The sequence below is a fragment of the Homo sapiens genome, chromosome 2 (genome assembly GCF_000001405.40).
Source record: "Homo sapiens chromosome 2, GRCh38.p14 Primary Assembly".
Classification (NCBI taxonomy): Eukaryota; Metazoa; Chordata; class Mammalia; order Primates; family Hominidae; genus Homo; species Homo sapiens.
The window spans coordinates 47,522,745-47,544,007 of NC_000002.12; the positions used below are offsets into that span (position 1 = coordinate 47,522,745).

The 21,263-nt window shown below is 49.5% G+C and overlaps 2 protein-coding genes and 1 long non-coding RNA gene across 37 annotated transcripts in view, besides 1 other annotated feature; 2 read left to right on the forward strand and 1 right to left on the reverse strand.

Annotated features, from left to right (window-relative positions):
• Positions 1–21,263, forward strand: part of MSH2 (mutS homolog 2) — a 306,764-nt gene that overhangs the window by 119,678 nt on the left and 165,823 nt on the right. The window contains exons 17-18 of one of the 35 annotated variants that reach the window (NM_001406674.1): positions 10,290–10,409; positions 12,128–15,032. The exons of 32 other annotated variants lie outside the window; for them this stretch is intronic. In NM_001406674.1, coding sequence (NP_001393603.1) covers positions 10,290–10,409; positions 12,128–12,300 — 293 coding nt within the window. In that variant the 3' untranslated portion in view covers positions 12,301–15,032. Of the gene's footprint in view, positions 1–8,520; positions 9,598–10,289; positions 10,410–12,127; positions 15,033–21,263 lie in introns of those variants that run through there. 2 more of the 35 variants (NR_176230.1, NM_001406634.1) reach the window with 2 other exon arrangements.
• Positions 1–21,263, reverse strand: part of KCNK12 (potassium two pore domain channel subfamily K member 12) — a 61,696-nt gene that overhangs the window by 13,455 nt on the left and 26,978 nt on the right. The window lies entirely within an intron of this gene.
• MSH2-OT1 (MSH2 overlapping transcript 1) lies at positions 4,793–6,420 on the forward strand. The gene is made up of 3 exons (NR_120602.1): positions 4,793–5,060; positions 5,557–5,624; positions 6,323–6,420. It is a non-coding gene; the product is annotated as an MSH2 overlapping transcript 1 (long non-coding RNA).
• Positions 11,891–12,406: an enhancer, noted in NCBI's record as "H3K27ac-H3K4me1 hESC enhancer chr2:47761774-47762289 (GRCh37/hg19 assembly coordinates)". NCBI's record gives its function as "activates a minimal SCP1, AML or CMV promoter by ChIP-STARR-seq in primed H9 embryonic stem cells {active_cell/tissue: H9 hESC(primed)}" and the evidence as "EXISTENCE:reporter gene assay evidence [ECO:0000049][PMID:30033119]".

Here is a 21,263-nt window from a genome sequence, read left to right on the forward strand (position 1 = left end):
CACTTCCCTAGTTCTTACAGTGTGAATATGGGGTGACAAGAAAATGTGCATTTCAAATCAATTCCCAGATGACTCCAAAGTCTTACATACTAGAATAGCAGACTTTTCTGTTCAAAGGGCAGTTTTTAAAGAGTTGTCATATGTGCCCAATTTTTTTTCCCAAGTGTGCCATAGATTTTCGGTCCCTCCCTGTTATTAAAAAAAAAATCAGTTTACCAACTCTGCCTACTAACTAAAGGACCCCAAAATTAAGTGTCAGTGCTCAAAAGTCAACTGCAGCTCCTCTTCTTTCCTCAAGTTATTTGGAATTGTGAGTGAATCCGAGCCGAACAACTGTTGACTACGAGTTTTTCTCCAAAAGCCTGGTTTTTAAATGTAACCTGTAGTACACCTGGGCAGACAGCCTTGTTAGGGAAGCATTCCATAGGGCTTTGCCTTAATTGGGATTGTTCACTCTGGGACCAGGTAGAGTGTAACCAGGTAGCTAGAGTTAATGGTCTCTGAAAAGAGCTTTGTGAGGCTGACAAAAGGATTGCTTGAGAGTAGTCCACCCACACCCTTCAGAGACTGAGCATGGCTCTGCCATTGGGTGCCGGCTCCTTCTCAACCAAGGATCACCATCAGTCATCCTTGCTCACACTTGTGGCCAAAGAAAGGCTCTGGCCCAGCTGGGTCCTGTGCTGCTGGTATATCAAATTGCTTTGTTCTGGGAGGTCTATACAACTGCGTATTGCTTCAGGCCCTTATCGTTGTTAACTTACCACTTGTTCAAAGCACAGGCTTTAAGGGTGTCTTTATCAATTGATTTCTGCAGAAGGTGTGGCTGCCTGCCAGTGTGCTCGCCCATGCCATCCAGGGCAGTGCAGAGTGGCAGCTCTGCCTCTCAACTGAGCTCCCTGCCCAGTGCTGGCTGTGGTCTGTGGGACCCGTGGTTGCCTGACTCTGGTTATGGGAGGGGGTTTCATCTCTTGGTGGAAAGATTCACTTACTGCTTGGAGTCTGAGCTGAAAAAATGGATCATTTGAGCAGCACCATGATACTGTTCAGCAAGTCTGGCAGCGATCAGGGGCATCCCTGTTTAATTTGTGCCCTATGGCAGAAGGGCTACCTGTGCTCTGCCAGTGGGGTGGGGCCAGCCCTGGGAAAGTGGAGAAGAGTTTGTCCTATGTGGCTTACTAGTTTCCTAAACAGACTATAGAAAATATTTCTTGTAATACTTTCAGAGTACATTCCTTAAGCCTATGTGCTAACAATCATTTTCTAGACTGTCTGAAGGAAATGCCCAGTTGCCCGAGTGTGGTGTTGATCTTACGCTTAATGACTCAGGTGAGGGGAAAATCTTATGATGTTACCCATGTTGAGGAAGATGGATTATGTCCCTAGATTTACAGAAAGTGAAAAAAACCAAAATAGCTGTGTAACCAAGAACTTGATAGAGGGATTTTGCTACATTTTAAAGCCACACTCAAGTTCTTGAGTTTATAAAGAAATCAGCTCTGAATTTACATGGCTATAAGTGGAGTGGGAGTATATGTGTATATTTATAAAACGTTTTAGACCAGTAACCTAAATGTCTAACAACACAACTAAATGATTGTCTATTCATAAAAAGGAAAACTATACAGCAATTAAAAAGCATGAACCATAGCTACTTGAAACAACATGGATAAATCTCACAAAAAGAATGTGGAACAAAATAAGCTGGACACAAAATAATACATTCTGCATTATTCCATTAACATAAAATTCAAAATCAGGCCAAACTACAGCCTTTTTTAGGGATGCATGCATGGTTGGTAAAATTATAAGGGAAAGCAAGGAAGTAATTTTGATAAAAGTCAGAATTGGGATTTCCTCTAGAGCATGGCAGGGGGTAGTAGCTGAGAGGGGACATAGGGGACCTCTGGGGTGCTAGAAATGTTTTTGTTGACCTGGGTGGTAGTTACATGTGTGTTAGCTGTGTAATAATCTGTTAAATTGTATGTTTTGTGAGTTTTTTTGTACTCATAGTGAGAAAAAAATTTTAAACTTCTAGACTGTTAGAACTCTCAGATACCCAATTCTGACGTACCCATCACTGTATAGGTGAGGGAGTAGGGGCTGAGGGGCTGTGACCTGCATGTTGGGGACAGACTCCCACCTCTTTGTCCTGGCTTCAAGCCTGGTGCATAGATCGGTATACAGAACACTGCATCTACTCACTGAGGGAACACAAAGTCTCTTATAGAAGGATAACTCTGTTAAATTCCTAAGGTAATTGAAAATCCTGGGCCTGGAAAACCAATACTTTGTCTAACTAAGAAAATACTGAATTGGATTTTTCAGCTAAAGCCTCAAAGCTGAGAACAGTATGTGTACATTTCTCCCCATTCTAAAGAGAAGTTCCAGACACATCCATGCTGGACTTAATAAAACAGCAAAACAGGTCTGGGGCTAGCAACCCCCCACACCCCCACCTCCAGGCTGTACGGAAAGGCTGGGGATTGATGGGATCTTCCATCAGTTGGGAAGTTGTTATGGGTAGTTGTTGTGGCAGTGGAGAGTGCTGTGGATTCTTTCACTCACCCCCAGGCCAGGGGATGGTTGGAGCAGGGAAGGTCAAGAGGACTTATGGAGTGTCAGCAAGAGCCCGGCAGCTCACTTCCTAGCTGGCTGGGCACAGCCGCTCACAGGCCTACCCAGAGTGGAGCATGGTGAGGGTTCTGGGAGAACCCGGCAGTGTCCCCTGGAGTCCAGAGCTGTGCTGGAGAGTTCTCTGGGTGGGAGGCTGACTGGGGCAGCCCCCACAGGCAGGGGAGGAAGAGGGCAGTCCCAGGGGCCATCTGTACTTCAAGGGCTTGCTTCATCAGGAGATGTGAGGGTGACATGGGTCACCAGAGGGTGACAAGTGGATACTGAAAGGAAGAGATCTGAAGAGACTGCTCAAGAGGGCTGCCTGCTGGAGCAAGGGGGCCCTAGGAAGAAGAGGCTGAGGGGCAGAGGGCTGGGGACAGCATGAGAGGGAGTCACAGGAGGAGGGATGGAGAGGGCAGTGCCCACTCAGGGAATGGGGCAGGGAGTGGTCCCTGTGCAGGGCTCCCAAGGACCCATAAATAGATGCCGTGAAAGCACATATGCCTGTTCTAACAGGGAGCCTTGCAGCCCCACCAGCAAAAGTTAAGAAGGAATGATAGTGGCTCCAGTGATGTAAGATCACCCCCATGCCCCATCCACTGCGGGTCCCCTGAGCCATGTGTCAGCCCAGAGCTAGAGGGGGAGGCTAAATAAGCTCTGATTAGAAGTGAATTTGAAGATTTGATTAAACAACTGAGAACGAGTCTCAATCTTAAAACTGGTACTTAATTAACAACAACAACAACAACAAAAGAGGCCGGGCGTGATGGCTCATGCCTGTAATCCCAGCACTTTGGGAGGCCAAGGTGGGCAGGTCACTTGAGGTCAGGAGTTCAAGACCAGCCTGACCAATATGCAAAAACCCCGTCTCTCCTAAAAATACAAAAAAAAAAAAAAAATTAGCCAGGTGTGGCGGCGGGTGCCTGTAGTCCCAGCTACTCGGGAGGCTGAGGCAGGAGAATGCCGTGAACCCAGGAGGCGGAGCTTGCAGTGAGCCGAGATTGCGCCACTGCACTCCAGCCTGGGCAACAGAGTGAGACTCCCTCAGAAAAAAAAAAAAAAAGAGAAAGAAAGAAAAGAAACAAAGAAACTGGCTGAGCCTGGTGGCTCACGCCTGTAATCCCCAGCACTTTGGGAGGCCAAGGTGGGTGCATCACTTGAGGCCAGGAGTTCAAGACCAGCCTGGGCAACTTGGCGAAACTCCGTTTATACTAAAAATACAAAAATTAGCCGGGCATAGTGGAGTGCACTTGTAATCCCAGCTACTTGGGAGGCTAAGCCAGGAGAATCGCTTGAATCCGGGAGGCAGAGGTTGCAGTGAGCCAAGATCGCGCCACTGCCTTCCAGCCTGGGCGACAGAGCGAAACTCCGTCTCAAAAACAAACAAAAACCCCAAAACACAAAAAGACATAAAAACTATTTGGATAACTCTAGCATTTACCCAAGATGTTAAGGAATCTAAAAGGGAGTTCTTAAAGACAATAGATGAGACAAAGCCATTTCCAGTGTCGGCCCATTTAATAAACTGGTTCCACCTGGATTTTCTCTTCATTGTGGTGAAAGCCACCACCTAACAATGCTGGCCCTGCCTGCATCATCGCATGTCATCATGACAACCTATGGGGGAGAACAGCTCCATTCAACAGATGCAGAAACTGCAGGTTAAAGGGTGAAAAGCAGTTGCGAAGTCCCCACAGCTTGGAAATGGTGGAGCCGAGACTGAAACCCAGGTGTGCTAGCATCTAAAGTTCATGCTCTTTCCACCACATTAGACTGTATTCTGAGGGCACCAAGGAAGCTCCATTTTTCTTAAGAAACCAAATTGCAGTCCTCCAGGACCACAGCCAGGGGAGCATCTTCGTGGGAGAGTGGCTGCTGCTCAGAGTTGTGACTCCCATCCTTAAGAGTCCTCTGTCCTCTCTGGCCTCCTTTCTACTGATCATTGCTGTCCCCTTCACAGGGGAGAGGGGCCATGGCCTATCCCCTAAAGAGTCTGCCAAGGTAGACTCATAACCTCCCCGTGGCACAGCTCAGACAAGCTGGGCTATTTACATAAGACTTGACCCAGGGCTTGAGGACAGCGCGAGGAATGAGGTGCAGAGGAGACTGCTGCTTCTGGGTGACAGTCTGCCTGGCTGACCACAGCTGGGGTACTCATTGGCCTCTTGAGGCCCCCCACAGGCCTGCCCTGCCTGACCTACTCTTGTGAGGCCAAGGCCATCTCCTCCACTCTCTGGGGGCCTCTTCTGACTCCTCCAAACTCTTCCATGTCTGGACTCCTGGCTTCTGCCCAAGGCCATCTATTGGAGTTTGGGTTTCCAGTTGAGGATCTGCCTTTTTCCTGGATGACCAAACCTAGAATGTGACCGGCCTCATGCTCCCTCCTCACAAGGGTGTGGCTTTATCCGAGGGCCTCAGCAAGGCAACCAACACCAGACATGAAGCTGGTAAGACCAACATCCACCTATTCATTCCTTCAGCAAACATTTACTGTGGACAGCATCAGGTTGGCAGTATCATGCAAGGCTCAGAAATATGGTGGAAAACCAGACAGATGCAGTTCCTGTCCTCAGTCTCTAGGCTGCCTTCCTAGAGGCCCCTCACTGGGTTTCTTAGCAGTTTTGTACAGATCCTACCCCCTTTGCTGCCAGCAGGCTCACCTCTGGGACAGGGCGCATATAGTCTGGGCCAGAACTTGTCCTGGGGTCTTCTTACGGCCCTGGTTCAGCTTGCATTCAGCATAACAACTTAGCTAGGGAGTGCTGCAGGCCCCAAATGATGCTAAATACTAGACTAGCTGTGTAACACCATCTGCCCAGAATGAAGGGACAGGTGAGGCAGAAGGGTCTCCGACAGCGCACAGGGCAACCAGTGAAAGCGTCCTTACTGTCCTGTTCCTGAGGTCTCTCTGTGCCTGCTTTACTGCCCTTCGCTTTCCTACAGAGCACACTCAGCTCATCCTGGGAGACAAGGTGGGGGTGGAGGATGGTCCATCCTTCTTCCGCATCAAGGTCAGTAGGTTCAGAGCTCTGGGGGGGTGCTGAGACCCTGGGACAGGCTTCCTGCTGAGGGCACTGGGGCCTATGCTTGTGCCACTGCCTAGCCAGTTGCCTCCCAGAGTAGAGAAGCAGTCTCCCAAGCTCTTGCAATTTGTGGGGAGCCAAGCTGCTCTGGAGAGGGGCCTCAAAGCTTCAGCCAGAGAAAAGGCAAACCCAGCCACCCTGAGAATCTCCTCCTCCCCCTCAATCACACCCTGCAGAGGCGTGATCTGTCCCTGGGTTCGCACCAAGCCTGCTATTTTGTTTATGCCACAATTGATCTGCCATCCCAGTTTGCAAAGAGCAGACACTTGGGGGCTTTATTATGCCACTTTGACAAAAGCTGTGAAGCTCGTTCCCACAGCCTGTCTGGTGCCGCCTTCGCAAATGGGGCCCTGGTGATGGGGCCTTCGGAGTTCAGCTCAGAGAGCATGGAAGTGAGATGGAGAGGCCAGCACTGATCTGTATCGTGCAGCCCTGGGCGGCAGCCTCGGTTGGGCCCTTGACACACTCCTCCCATCCAGGCCCCCAGCCACCCTGTGAGGGAGGCACTATTACGCCCAAAAATGCAGGCAAGGAAATGGGCTGAGGGAGGGGAAGCATTCACTGAAGTTAGTTTGTACGTGGCTGAGCTGGCCCTGAAGCCCATGCCCTTTCCACTTGCCAGACAGATGGGAAGTCTTGACTCATTACCCGCTGGAGACTTTTCCTGCTGGGCTCTGCACTGTCAACTGTGAGAGAGGGAAATAAAACGTACTGTACAGTCCAATCTGGGATACTTCTGAGAGTGAAAGTGGCTCTACTAGTAATTACCCCAGGACAGCATGTATAAACCAGGGCTGTTCCAAGCAACTGGGACACATGATTAAAATGCAGATTCCATGGCAGGTCCCGCTCAGAGGTTTATTTAGTGGGTCAGAAAATGGGCCCAGGAATTTCATTTTAACAAATGTCTCCAGATAAATCTGATGTAAATGGAATATTCCTTTAAGAATGCCATTCCTTTAAGAAATAATGTTAATAAGGTATTCCAGATGACCCTATTGGTTGGAATCTGTCCAACTACAAATATTTTGATTTAAATTTCCATTGACCTAAAATTTTTGTGGTGGGCACTGCAGCTCTCTCCTTACCAATCATTCTCCCAGCCTGTACTATATTGAGTAGCAGCCAGGCTACTTGGAGAACAGACTGAACTCCAGGAATGGGCTCTATTAGTCTAGGCCAATCAGGATAATCCAGTTCCTTACCATGACTGGCTCAAGAATGGGTAGACCTAAGTCAATCAGTGCAGAGCATTTTCATGACTACAGAGAAACCATGGGAAGGCTGAGGCGTGGACTCAGTGGGCAGGGATGGAAAAAGACTCAGAAATACTGGGCATGGCCCATGGCTCATTAGGGTTGCCAGGTAAAATACAGAACACCCAGTTAAATATGACTTGGGTAAACAAGAAATCATTTTTTAAGTATAAGTATGTCCCAAATATTGCATAGGACATACTTATACTAAAATATAGTTGATTATCTGAAATTCAAATTTCACTGGGCATGCTGTCTTTTTATTTCCTAAACCTGGCAACCCTACTCATGACTCCACTTGTCAGCTTGGTACACTCCTCTGAGAAGCTTCTCCCAATATTCCCATCTCATTTGATCCTTCCTGACTGGCCAGTGTTGGGATTAAGAGCCTCACTTTAATCAAGGAACCCAAGGCTCACACAAGGCTGAGCCCTGCCCAGCCAGGCCAGCGGCCAGGCCTCCCCATGTCCCTCTCTCTCCTAACAGGGAGGAGTGGGAGATGGGGGAGGGCTGTGGGATGGAGGGCGGGGCTGCCAACAGCCTGCTCCGTGGCTGGAACTGCGACATCGCCTCTCTGGGAGTAGGAGTGGGCTTCTGGCCAGACTCAGTGGGGGAGGACTGGACACTTGAGAGGGCACTGGGCCAAAGACTTCCCTGGGACATGTGCCCCAGCCCTGGTACCTCAGGGCTGCACATGTCAGCCATCTCCATGTCACACCCCCGGGGAGGACAACCGACCACCGTGGACAAGCCCTGAACCTTTTGGGAAAGCTGGTGCTAAAAGAATAGCTGGAGAAGTCACTACTGAGGACTGAAAATGCGGAGGGTATAATAACTGCTGTTGTGTATCGAGCCTCACTATTTCCACGCACCGTGCCAAGTGCTGCACGCGTATCAATTCATTTAATCCTCACAACAACTGCATGAGGCTCCATGTTTTCACTGATTCCAAGTCACAGCTTTTTTCCTCTCATGTTAACATCTCTAAAATCGTGCATCTTACAGTCAATGGCCTGATAGTTTATTTGGCAGTATTTTAAATTCCTAATGGTACGTACCATGATGGTGTGTTCATAACCAATAGTGTCTTAGATTTGATGAACTATAGTGGGGATGATTATTGTCCCCAGTTGTGAGATTAGTAAACTGAGTTGCATTTAACAGATAAAGACATTGAAGTTCAGTAACTTGCCCAAGATCACAAAGCAAGCACATGGCAGAGATTTGAAACTAGAGGAAGGAGCTTGCAATGTGATAAAGCAGCAAATGTACAAGAGTTTGGAAGAAGGAGAGGTAGGTTGCTTTTGGCAAGAGCAGCAATTCTCAATTCTGGCTGCACAATAGAATCACCTGGGGAACTGAAAATAATCCCCAATCCCCGGGTGCATCCAGACCAGTTTAGGTCAACATCAGAACTGAGGCCTTCCTGGTGGAATGATTAGGAAAGACATATGGAAGAAGAGATATTTGTGTTCAGTCTTAACAACTGGGTGGGGCCGGGCACGGTGGCTCACACCTGTAATCCCAGCACTTTAGGAGGCTGAGGCGGTTGGATCGCTTGAGCCCAGGAGTTCAAGACCAGCCTGGGCAACATAGTGGGACCCCATTTCTACAAAAAATTTGAAAATCAGCTGGGCGTGGTGGCGTGTGCCTGTGGTCCTAGCTACTCAGGAGGCTGAAGTGAGAGGATGGCTTGAGCCCTGGAGGTCAAGGCTGCAGTGAGCCATGACTGCACCCTTGCACTCCAGCCTGGGTGACAGAGCAAGACCCTGTTTAAAAAAAAAAAAAAGATTAGGTGGGATTTCAAGAGATTGACAGGGAGCAGAGGCCTAGGCTTGGGAAAGGCATCCCCTGCTGGGACAGTGCAGTGCCCAGGGCCACTGGGCAGGGTGAGGGGGTTCAGCCTGCTGGTGAAGCCTGGCCCATAGGAAACGTCCAGTGACTCTGGCTGATGGAGCAGGGGAATCTGTGGAAGAAGGCAAGGGACAATGCTGGTGAGGCAGGAGAAGAGGGAATTGGGGTAACCAAAGGTTAAGGCGTAAAAACAGTGGGTGCAGCCAGTTCTAGGCAAGATTAGGCAGCACATAGGCCACATCCTCACTCCTGTGATAAGACAGAAGTTTCCACTTCAGCCTCTGATTGATTGTGGGCCAAGCTGTCACTTCAGCCTCTGATTGGTCACAGGCCAGTCCTTCATGGGGTGTAACTAACCCTAGGCCTCTAAAGGGCACCTAGGGGTGCTAGCAAATTCTTTTAGCTTTATAAAAACCCTGGGGAGAGGCAGAGGTTGCAGTGAGCTGAGATCATGTCACTGCACTCCAGCCTGGGTGACAAAGCGCGACTCCGTCTCAAAAAAAACCCCCAAAAACAAAAAACAATATTCATTCATTCAACAAACATTTATTTGCACACGGTGTAGCAGGCTGTCATAGGCATTAGGGATACAGCTTTAAACAAAACAGACAACATTGACTATCCTGGAGCACACATTCTAGTAACAATAAGCAAACAAACAAATTTGTAAATAGCATAAAAAAAAAAAACCCTGGGGAGCACTGCAGTAGAGAGGCTCTTGGGCCACCTGCTTGAGTCTGCTCCCACTTTGTGGAATGTACTTTTGCCTCAATAAATCTGTGCTTTTATTACTGCTTTTTTCTTTTTCTTTTTTTAAAGTTTATTCTTTGAGACAGGATCTTGCTCTGTCACCCAGGCTGGAGTGCAGTGGTATGATCTTAGTTCACTGCAACCTCTGCCCCCTGGGCTCAAGTGATCCTCCTGCCTCAGCCTCCAGAGTAGCTGGGACTACAGGCACCCACCACCACACCTGGCAACCGTTCTTTTGTTGCTTTGTCTTTCATTGCTTTATTCTTTTGTTGCTTTGTAAGGGTTTTTCTATTCTTTGTTTAACGTGCCAAGAACCTGGACAACTCACAGTCAAGGCGTTCCATCTGGTAACATTGGGAGCACCTCCTAGCCACCTGGGACTCAGGTTGACCCTACAGGAGCTTTGTGAAGTGAGCATTGCCTGGCACTTTTAGGTGCCAGCATCCAAGCCTAGCACCTGGCATTGTGCCCTGCTCTGTAGAAACTTCTAGGATCTGGTAAGCCTCATGTTCAGAAGACAAACTCAGCAAGTCTTAACTCCTGCAGGCTTGGGAAGGGCCTCCCTCGGAGAGCTGAGAGCAGAACTAGGAACAGGGACGGTGGTTTCAGGCTCTGGCGCCTCCACCTGCTAAGGAGGTGACATGGACACATTCCTTACCTTCTCGGACCCTCGCTTCTCCCTCTAAAAATGGCCCAATGCCCTACTTATTTATTTATTTTTTATTTTTTTGAGACAGGCTCACTCTGTCGCCCAGGCTGGAGTGCAGTGGTGTGATCTTGGCTCACTGCAACCTCCACCTCCCAGGTTCAAGCCATTCTCCTGCCACAGCCTCCCAAGTAGCTGGGACTACAGGTGCGTGCCACCACATCTGGCTAATTTTTGTATTTTTAGTAGAGACGGGGTTTTACCATGTTGGCCAGGCTGGTCTCCAACTCCTGACCTCAGGTGATCTGCCCACCTTGGCCTCCCAAAGTGCTGGGATTACATGAGTGCGCCACTGTGCCCGGCCCACTGCCCTACCTCTGAATGTCACTGTGAAGATTAAATGAGGATGTAGTTCCCACATGCATCCCACAGTGCCCGGGACATAGTAAGCTCCCCAAAAGCACCAAGCTTAGCTGGGAAGCACGATGGGTGAGGCATGGACCTTATTTCACAGCAAAGTGGCTCAGGTGAGGCAGGCAAGGAATGGGCAAATCACGACATGACATATGGATTTCCATGGCAGGGAAATGCCCCCGTAGGCACAGTCAAGCCTGGCTCTACCATTGGCTCGCCGTTCTCCTACCTCGCTGGGCCTCCATCTCCCCACCTCTGGCTCACTTCCTGCTTTGGCCCCTACGCTGGGTAGGAGGCCCGGCTAGAGGTTAGGCACCATCTTTTCCAGTCCCCAAAGTGAGAGTGTGTGTGTGTGGGAGAGATATTTTTAAATGGGGCTGTTGTGGAAAAGCTGAGACCGTGGGCTGCTCTATTTGTTGGCGCTTGCTGGTTTGTCTGATTTGCAGAGCTGGATGGACTGCTCCCTGAGGACAGAAGCTCTTGGTTTTCTTCCCTCCGAAGCCAGGCGTGGGGTGGGAGCATCCAGTGCACCCCTCTTGCATTGGGTGCGCAGTGATCCGGACAGAGAGGCTCCAGTCAGCCAGGCACAGAGAAAATGGCCCTCTGCCCCTGTTCTGCTTGTTTTTGTCTTGTTCTCTGGGGGCCTTTGAGGTGACTTTCTTCATTTGATGACAACAAGATGGGAGGCGGGGACAGCTGAGGTGGCAGGAGTAGGGGAGCTAGGGACAGAGGATGAACCCCACAGGCTCAGGCCAGTGACTTCTAACATTAGAGAGGTTTTGGTTAACTGGGAGCAAATGCAAGTGACTTCTTTGAATCGACTTTGTACCTCGGCACAGCCTTCCTTGCTAGCAGGGCTGACTTCAACCACCCCCCACTCTGTGCTTTATCTCTGGGATTAAGGTTTTCTCTCCTCACCAGAAATCATTCAGCAAAATGAGTTATTAAAAGCCGGTTAACCACTCCTGCCTCCGGGTAGCTCCCGTTTAACAACCTCTCCTGGGGAGCAGCTGTCAAGCTCGGCCCTGAGCTGGCGGGAAGATGACTCATTTACATACAGCCCGTCTCCAGGCCCCCCCCACCGCCACCCCAAGATCTGTCCCTGTCTCCCTGATGACTAATCCTTTCCAGGGATGAGATCACTGCCCCTTCTAACCCCCCCCCCCGCCCCCACACACAGAAAGAGCAGAGCCCTCATCTCAGCCCAGAATTTTGGGAGAAGACTAAATCCAAGACCAAGGGAGGCCTTTGATGGGACAAAGACGTGACTGATGAACCCGGAGTGAGGAGCAATGAGATGAAGAAAGCTCTGCCCACCTACCCCGTCCCTCACTCCTCCCTCCCACCTCAGGGCGCTCATGTGGGGCTTGTGTGGGGAACAGCTCCAGGGTCATACCACCTCTCAGAAGGGAGACAGACCAGCCAGGCGTGAGGTGACAGACCAGCGGGCAGCTCAGAGCAGCAAGACAATGTCAATTCAATCACTTTACCTCAATTCCTCTATCACACAGGAGGAGATTTTAAAAGGAAGTCTCTGGTGGTTTGTAAAGCAACAAATCCTGCTCTCAAGTGGATAGTTCCAAGCCCTCTCAATGAATTCAGTTTTATACACCTGGAGAAGCACAGCCTCGTCCTTTCCATGGAGCTACAAGCCACATCTGGGGGCGCTCAGTGCCCAGGCTGAGGGGGCACGCAGAGCCCTCGGGGACGACTCAATGCACAGAGGCCACTCCTTAAGGGCCCGGCTCCCTCAAACTGAGGTGTCCCCATGCTTGGTCTTCCCACAGAAGCCAGCCTGGTTGGCTGCTTCAAAGGAGGAATAAAGATGAGGAGCCATGATGCAAACAAACCCACACCTTTCAGCTGCAGCCAGGGAGGTGCTCTAGAGGCCCACGGAGAGCTGTGTGTCTGCTCTGCTAGCCCGACCTGCACCTGCCCTATGGGCTGGTAAAGGGGCTGCCCACAGCACCTCAGCACATGGGTCTCTCTCTCTTTTCATCCAGCCCAAAATGTCAAAGCACAAGGGTCTCTGTCAGGGCCTGGCTGTGGTCACTGGACTGCGGCTGAGGGGTAAGGTGCACCCCTCCTCTAATGGGGGCGCACCCCTCCTCTAATGGGGGTGGGGCTGGAGCTAATGGCACATTCCACTCTCAGCTGCCACACACAGATGGGGAGGTTGATGGCCCGCACACAGGAAGTGAGGGATGGTGGGGACTGAATTTATGGAGCCCCTATCCCAGACCAAGCACTCTGCTGGTACTTTCACAGGTGTAATCCCCAGAGCAGCTCCTGGGGGAGGTGTCATTATGCCGGTGAGGAAACCAAGGCTCAGAGAAGTAAGGCAGCACAGGTCCCAGCCCCACTCCACCTCTTGAGGCCTGACTCAGCCTTAGGTTCAGAGAATGCAACTGTGATTTTTCCCTGAGATGAGCATTCAATCATACTGCGCCAGGGTACTTGCTGTGGCCAAAACGCCTGCCCTGGATCTGTGGCATGACTTTGTGTCAGACCCTGTGCGATAGAAGGAGATGGAAGCTGAGGTTCAGAGACGTTAATGACCTTGAAGGTCAGGGTCACAGAAAATGGCACAACCGGGATTGCAACTCAGTTCTGCCCAATTTCAAATCTACCTTCCTGCCACCTCCTTGCCTTGCCTATTGTCCCCCTCCCTTCATATGACCTGGGACCCAGACTCCCTGGTTTTCTGGAAATATTCTCTCTCCTTTTGGCTCATTCTGTGCACTGTCCCAGTTGGTGGTATTGAGGCACAGCTCTGCCCAGATCACTCTCCAGCTCAGCTGCCCTGAGCTCCCCAGCCCCACCTTTCAAGGTCAGGAATGACTTATTTCCTTTTCTCTTCGCCTGTCTGAATCCTCGCCATCATCTGACAGCACTTTCAGCTCACCAGGCATTTAACTGTGTGCTGTCTTGTGACAGCCCCTGTCCTGACCATTGTCCCAGAGATTTAACCCTTTGTGTTTTTCTATGTTAGCTTGCCAGTGAGGACATGGCCCATGTCTTGGACTTCTTGCCACCCTCCAGAATGCAGGTCCTCAGGGAGCAGCTGCTAAATTCCCAACAGAACTGACAGTTTGTCCAGTGATCACCAGCAGACACTGTACCAGAAACATTGTCTCCATCTTAGTTTCAGTTAACTCAACATGTTTTTGAGACCTGCTGTGTGCCAGACATGAGGGCAGGGGAAGGAAGACTATGGTGAATAAGATTGCCCACAGACCTCCAGGAACACACCTGTAGTCAAAACACAATTGAGCTTACTGGCTCACTGCAATGAGGAAGCTTGGCCACCATGGATTCTGGGGCATCTCAGTCAGAGGGTATCAAAGAGGGCTAATTCTAGGAGTTGGGCTTGAGTTCTTGAGTTAGGTGATTTATGGAGGACTTAAGGAAGCAGGCTTCGCTCTGGATGGGATGCTGCCAAAGAGCGGAAGTACTTCTATGACTGGGCATCTTAATTCTTAGCTGGAAGATGGGAACGACATAGCGAGGCCAAGCTGTGATTGGCCAAGAAGCAGCAGTTGCTCATACTAACCAGATGAGGGATGTTTGGTCTTTTTAGTGGTTTGGACGATGTTCTTGTTTTGGTCTGTGTTTGGACATGATTATGGGGTGAATGGTCTTGTTTTTCTCTCACTCCATCTTGGTCATAAGGCGGCCTTGCCTGATCAGGGGTTCTGTGAAATGCTTATGCTCCATGGCAGATCCTCCCAGCCCCACTGTGAGTGCCAGGCCAGCTCTCGGCGCTCAGGGGCTGCCTTCATCTTTCTCAAAATGCTGCTGTGCTTTGCAGCCCATAATAGCATTTTACTGGATGCCATTCATTATTTTTTGTAAATGAAATTCTTTCCAAGTGTTCCAATTTACTTGGCTATATATGTGCATGTGTGCACACACGCGTACTTAATTCCGTACATGGAGCACACTGCTCAGTTGTGAAAATGGGTGATTTTCTTTCTTTTTTTTTTTTGAGATGGCATCTTGCTCTGTCGCCCAGGCTGGAGTGCACTGGCGCGATCTCAGCTCTCTGCAACCTCCGCCTCCCGGGTTCAAGTGATTCTCCTGCCTCAGCCTCCTGAGTAGCTGGGATTACAGGCGCCCACCACGACGCCCAGCTAATTTTTATATTTTTAATAGAGACAGGGTTTCATCATGTTGGCCAGGATGGTCTCAATCTCTTGACCTCGTGATCCGCCCGCCTCGGTCTCCCAAAGTGCTGGGATTACAGGCGTGAGCCACCGCGCCCAGCTGTGATTTTCATTTTAAGTTTCTTCTATTTGCTTTTATAAATATTTCACATTTTCTGTGGTGCAAATAGGATAGTTGCTACTTTTGAAACCGTAAGTTCACTCCCAACAAGCACTGTTAAGTTTATAAATAAAAATGAATAAGATATGATCCCTGTCCTCATACATAATGACCACAATGCCCTATGAAAATGACAGTAAGGGAGATGTCAGGGGATTCCGGGAAGCAAGAGAAGCGGTTTGGGAGGGTGCCCCAGAGCAGGTGCCATTGGAACTGAGTAGTGAAGATGCCTTAGCCAGGAGATGGAGGCAGTTGGGCACAAGGTCTGCAAGGTCCAGGTTGGCATTCAAGGGTTCAGGTGTCATGTGGATAAGACTTTCCAGGGAGCACGTGTGGTATGAGAATGAAGGCCCCTGAGGAACTTCAGTATCTAAAGGGCAGAAGAGGAGTCTATGAAGGAGACCACATTCATTCAACAAACATTTATTGAGGGCCTACTGTGGCCAGGAACTGTGCTAGGCCCTTGGGATTCAACAGTGATCTAAAAGACAAAGTCCCCTACCCTCAAGAAGCTTACATTTCAGTATGGGAGATGGAATAATAAACTACAAACAATTACGTGGCCTGTGAGAAAGTGGCAAGTACTACAAAAAATAAAAAATAGAGCAGGCTAAGAGGGTGAGGAGTGTGCGGGCAGGGAGGAGGCAGGTCATGGTTTTAAGTGGGGTGGGTCCAGGGAGGCCTCGTTAAGGAACGGATGTTTGATAAAGGACTAGGGTAAGAGTGTTTCAGGCTAGTCAACAGCACGAGCAAAGGCCCTGAGGCAGAGGGGCTGGAAACAGAGAAGAAAAGAGTGAAAAAGGACTGGGCATGGTGGCTCATGTCTGTAATCCCAGCACTTTGGGAGGCTGAGACAGGTGGATCACTTGAGGTCAGGAGTTTGAGACCAGCCTGGCCAACATGGTGAAACCCCGTCTCTACTAAAAATACAAAAATTAGCCAGGCATGGTGGTGCATGCCTGTAATCCCAGTTACTTGGAAGGCTGAGGCAGGAGAATCATTTGAACCCAGGAGGCAGAGGCTGCAGTGAGCCTAGACTGCACCACTGCACTCTAGCCTGGGTGACAGAGAAAACAATGGACAAAGAGATTAGCCAGCAAATCCCTCCTGCACACTTTCAGGGCAAAGTTTAGGTGATATAAATGTCCCTGAAATGAGAAAAACCATGACTTTCATTTGATTTTAATGTGAGGGAGAAACATAAACTAGTAGTTTTACAAAAAGAAAAAGAAATATAATATTCAAGTAGATTTCAAGCAACAGCAGATATGCTGAATTTATTTGATAACTGTCTTCTTTTTCTCTGTCAGCAGAGTCTCATGCAATTTTAAAAGGAAATTCGATGAAACGAACACCCATCAACATCTTTAATAGCTGCAAGCAATGTGGAGCAAATTTTTTGTCTTATTTAATGTGGTCATCACCATAACCCAGTAAAGACAATATCATCATTGCTCCCATTTTGTAGACAGGGAAACTGAATCCAGGATAAATAATGTAGCTTGCATGACACCAATCTTCCTCAAGTCTGAGCCAGAATTTATATCTCCCATTTCTCAACCTCATCTCTCAAGCCTATAATCTTTCAGTTATAAGAAGGGAAACACTTGAGGGTGTATCAGTTTGTGTTTTGTTCATAGTGTTTATATGCTCTCAATCAAGGACTGTTTATTAAAAAATTTTAGGAGGTGGTAGTCAAAAAGTGTCTCTGGCTGCAGTACTGGGGACAGACTGCAGGGGTGAGTTCAGCGAGTCTAGTTCAGAGGCTGTGGATCAAACAGGTGGGGTGGCCCAGACCAGGAGAGTAGCCAAAAGGGGACTAAGGAAGGGAGGCCAAAGGGAGGCCACAAACGCAGGAGAGGATGAAGGTGCTGAAGCTAGAGGCCATTCAGGAAGGAAGGAATGACGGGGCAAGGGGTCAGAAATTTCTAGAAGAATCTAGTAAGATGGAAACCTAACAGTCCTACTGGGATTTGGCAACTGGGAGGAAGCTGGCTCTGTGCAGGAAAGAAGGGGGCACCGCTGTGCGGACGCCAGACTGCGAAGGGCTGCAGAAGGAGCCGAAAGGGGAAGAAACGGACGCAGGTAGGGGTGGCTGCTGTTAAAGCCGCTTCCCGGGGAGGCCAAGGACATCCACAGCTGAAGTGCTCAGGACCATCCACAGCTGAAGTGCTCAGACACTGCGTTTTCTTTATCTCAGAGAGGCTGTGTGACTTGCCCACGTATGAGTACAGTGGCTAAATCACAAGCCCTGGAGTCAAGGGTTTAGGTTGATCCAGCCCCCACTACTCACTGGTGGCTGTCAGCAAGCTACTCGCTGTGCCTCAGTTTCCCCATCTATCAAGTAGACAGCACTGCCTTACAGATGGTTGTGGGGATCAGAGGGGAGGGGACAGCTGGCGGATTTAGCAGAGTACGTGGCACAGAGGAAACACTAAATATGCTTCTTCAGCTCCTTATCAAGGTTAGGCCTCCACAAAGGGTGGAGCAGGGAAGAGAAGGCCTCACCGGGCAGACCTATCTTGGAGAAGATACAAGCAATGGTGCTGAAGTTTCACAACAGTGTCAACCCCCTCCCTCATGTGTGTACTCACAGCTACTCACTTTCCTACTCTGTGCCAGCCATGAGGTGTAGTCACTGTGCCAGGGGGCTGAGTGTCCGGCCTGGGACGTGAGAGGGCATGGGCTCACCTGCTCAGGGTTTGAATGAGACCCCGGTAACCGCAGCAGTAAAGACCCCTCAAATGCCATCTCTAAATTAAAATGGGTGATCAGAAAATAGCAGGTGAACGATAGTGCCCTCACTGCCCACAGAAGTGCCTTCAGTCAGATTTAGCGCTCCATCTTCTGCCTTTCTGAAGGGACAGTGGAAGCATCCATTTGAAGACTCTTCCTGTGTCTTCTGCAAAACCAAAGAAAAGCCATCACTGCCGATGTCTCTCTTTAAAGATCTGTTAGGCTAGGCACGGTGGCTTATGCCTGTCATGCCAGCACTTTGGGAGGCCAAGGCAGGGGGATTGCTTGAGGCCAGGAGTTTGGGACCAGCCTGGGCAACATGGTGAGACTCCATCCCTAGAAACAATTAAAAACAAACAAACAAACAAACAAACAAAAGCAAGCTGGGCATGGTGGCTCACACCTGTAGTTCCAGCTACTCAGGAGGCTGAGGCAGGATTGTTTGAGCCCAGGAGGTCAAGGCTGGAGTGAGCTGTGATTCTACCACTGCACTCCAGCCTGGGCAACAGAGTGAGACCCTGTCTCTACATAAATCAGTAAGATCCATCTGTGCAATTCCTTCCTCCTAGAATTCAGAATCTGAGGTGCTGGTTTCCTGAGGACACTTGTGACTTGCTGCCTTTTATTGAACTCTGAGTGCCCTATTGCCCAGTTTGAGTGTTCCAATGGGAAGTGCAGAGCCACCGTGGCCATTCATTGCTGTAGAGCTGCGCCCCAGTACCTGATACATCCCTCACCCTTTTCCAATTGATTTTTAGCTTCCTTCATCCCTCCCTCTTTCCCTTGTCCTCTTCGTGTCCACAGGAAGCCTGTTGGGAGCCTGCTATGGCAAGTGCTGTGCTAGGACACGGTCCTGCACTCTTAGAGTTTGTGGTTCAGTTATTCCAGTTTCAGCACTTACATTCATTCAAATGCTTTGTGGAAGCAAGCTGGCTTTTAGTCACCAGCAATAGCAATTTCTGAAAATCACCAAGCCACACCAAATATATGAAATATCTTTCTCTAAGGTGGTCTTTAAAATTTGGGCTGACTCTCCTCCCTCTAGGAATGTTCTGATGAGTTTCAGTCTGAAGGCAGGGAGATGGTCTCGGTGACCTCCTGGGCCCCTGTTCTGCACTGAACTGTATGCCCATACATTCATAGGTTGAGATCGTAACACTCCAGTACCTCAGAATGTTACTGCATTGGTAGAAAGGCTTTTTAAAAAAGGGAATCAAGGTAAAACGAGGCCATTAGGGTGAGCCCTAATCCAATATGGCTGGTGTCCTCACAGGAAGAGTGTATTAAGATACAGACATACACAAGGAAAACCACGTGAAGATATGGAGAAGGTGGTTGTCTGCAAGCCAAGGAGAGAGTCCTCAGGAGAAACCAACCCTGCCAGCCCCTTGATCTTAGACTTCTGGCCTCCAGAATTGTGAGAAAATACATTTCCATTGTTTAAGTCCCCCAGTCCGTGGTACTTTGTTATGGCAGCCGGAAGGAGACTGGGGCCGCCTGTTTGCTTGGCTGCAGAAGCCCCACGTGGCTGCACCCTGGCTCATTCTGTTTTCTGTAGCAGCAGCAGCAGCAGCAGCGGCAGCAGGGAGCCCAGGATGCAAAGCTTGGTTTCTGAGCCCTGATCAGGAGGCTGTGTTTATATTTATCCTGCTAACTGCAGGGGACTGTTTATTCCCAGAGAAATAACCTCCTGGGCAGGATAGGGGCAGCCAAGGAACCAGCTGCTTCCATCAGGCCTGCTGGGCTCCTCCAGGTTCTCATCATACCACTTCTGTCGAGGCTCTCTCTGACGCAGCTCTCCTCACTCCACACCAGGCTTGGGCCCAGGGGCACAGCCTGGTCTTCCTGAGGATGCTCAGACGCAGGGACCGACTGCTCCTCACAAGCACCCTGGCACATGCACAGCCCAGGGACTGGAGCCTTCGCAAACAAGTCACAGTCCTAGTCTGAGATTCAGTGCAACACTAGGCGCTTAGTAGATGCTCAGTAAACAGAACAACAAGGATTTTCTTTTTTAGTTTTAAAACATTAGTCTACCCATGCCTTGATAAACTGTAAAATGCCTCTGCCACCCATTCTCCCTTCTTGCTCCCTTTCATGGGAGCTCTGAGGGGAAGGTCTCTGGGGTGGGTTCCAGCAACCCTGGGCCTGTTCTGGGGTCCTGCAGCCAGGTTGGGCTTTCAGGAGCCTATATTTCATCTGGGCCCCAGTCACACTACATAGATTTTTGTTTTATCACAGAAATCACTGCCACACTGTGACCCTTAAGGTCCTCAGCAGGGATGGCGCGAGGTGAGAGTATCAAAGCCAGGTGAGAGCACTCAGATGGCTTCTGCCTTTGAACGTGTGAGAAGCTCACTCATGCACAGCGACAAGCAAGAAAGACATGGGAAACTGACAGGTTTTCATCACTGGCTAGTGAAAACACATTTTATACTTCTGGGCCAACAAATACTTGGGTCAATTCACACATTGGCTTGAGAATGAGTTCTTTTTCTTTTTCTTTATTTATTTAGAGATGGGGTCTCACTGTGTTGCCAAGCCTGGAGTGCAGTGGCTACTCACAGGCACAATCATAACGCGCTACAGCCTCAAACCTCTGAGCTCAAGAGATCCTCCCACCTCAGCCTCCGAGTAGCTGGGACTGTAGGTGTGCACTACTGTGCTTGGCCAACGTGTTCTTTTTTGAGGTGGGAACTTTAATTTACTTGAGCAGATGTATCAACGTAGCTGTGAATAAGGAGCTACCAGGGCATTAGACTGCAGACTCTGACACAACCACCGTCACCACAATAAATAGCAACAACCACCACCACAACAAGCACAGACACCTACATTTTTTTTTTTTTTTTTAGCTTTGATTACTACACTGTGTTGCTTTCCTCACTGAGGCTTATGTGGGGTTTTCTGGTTTTAGGAATCATTTTCACACACGGTTTATTTACATTTCTTCACAACCACCTAGTGAGGTAAGCATTATCCTCGGTTTTTAGATGCACAATCTGAGGCTCAGAAAAGTGCAGTGTGAGGTCACTTTGTGAATAAGTCATAGAGGTAATGTCAGAATTTGGGTCAGAGACTCCACAAGGGCTGACCCTCCTTGCGGTTCTCTGAAGACACTGTAGAAACCCGTGGGAAGCTCTGCTGTATTGCTGGGTGCTCCTGTTCTGTGGCAAGACAACCTAGAAGGTGATAGGGGGTCTTCTCCGAGACATGTGCTCTGCTGGCTCTTTGGCAGAAAGGGCAGAGTCGGGGATCAGGACGGTCATGCAGGCTGGCACTGCCCAGGGGCTGATCTTCCAGGAGCTGGGCTAGCAAGCTCGGGATGGGGGATGGGTCATTCCCTCCTTCTCCCCACTGTCACTATAATTCTGGAGATCTGTAAAAGGATGTTTAACATGTTTAAAGTCTTTGTTTCCCATCCTTCTGCCAAGGATTGAGACATCGCCCACCCAGCTTCAATCCTCATAGCTACTTCTGCCACTGATGGGAGGAGGATTGAGGTTCTTTCTACCAAGGAGCCAGGAGGATGGCTGTCACTGCTCCTGGAAGCAGGGACTCCCAGATGTGGGGATAAGTACGCAG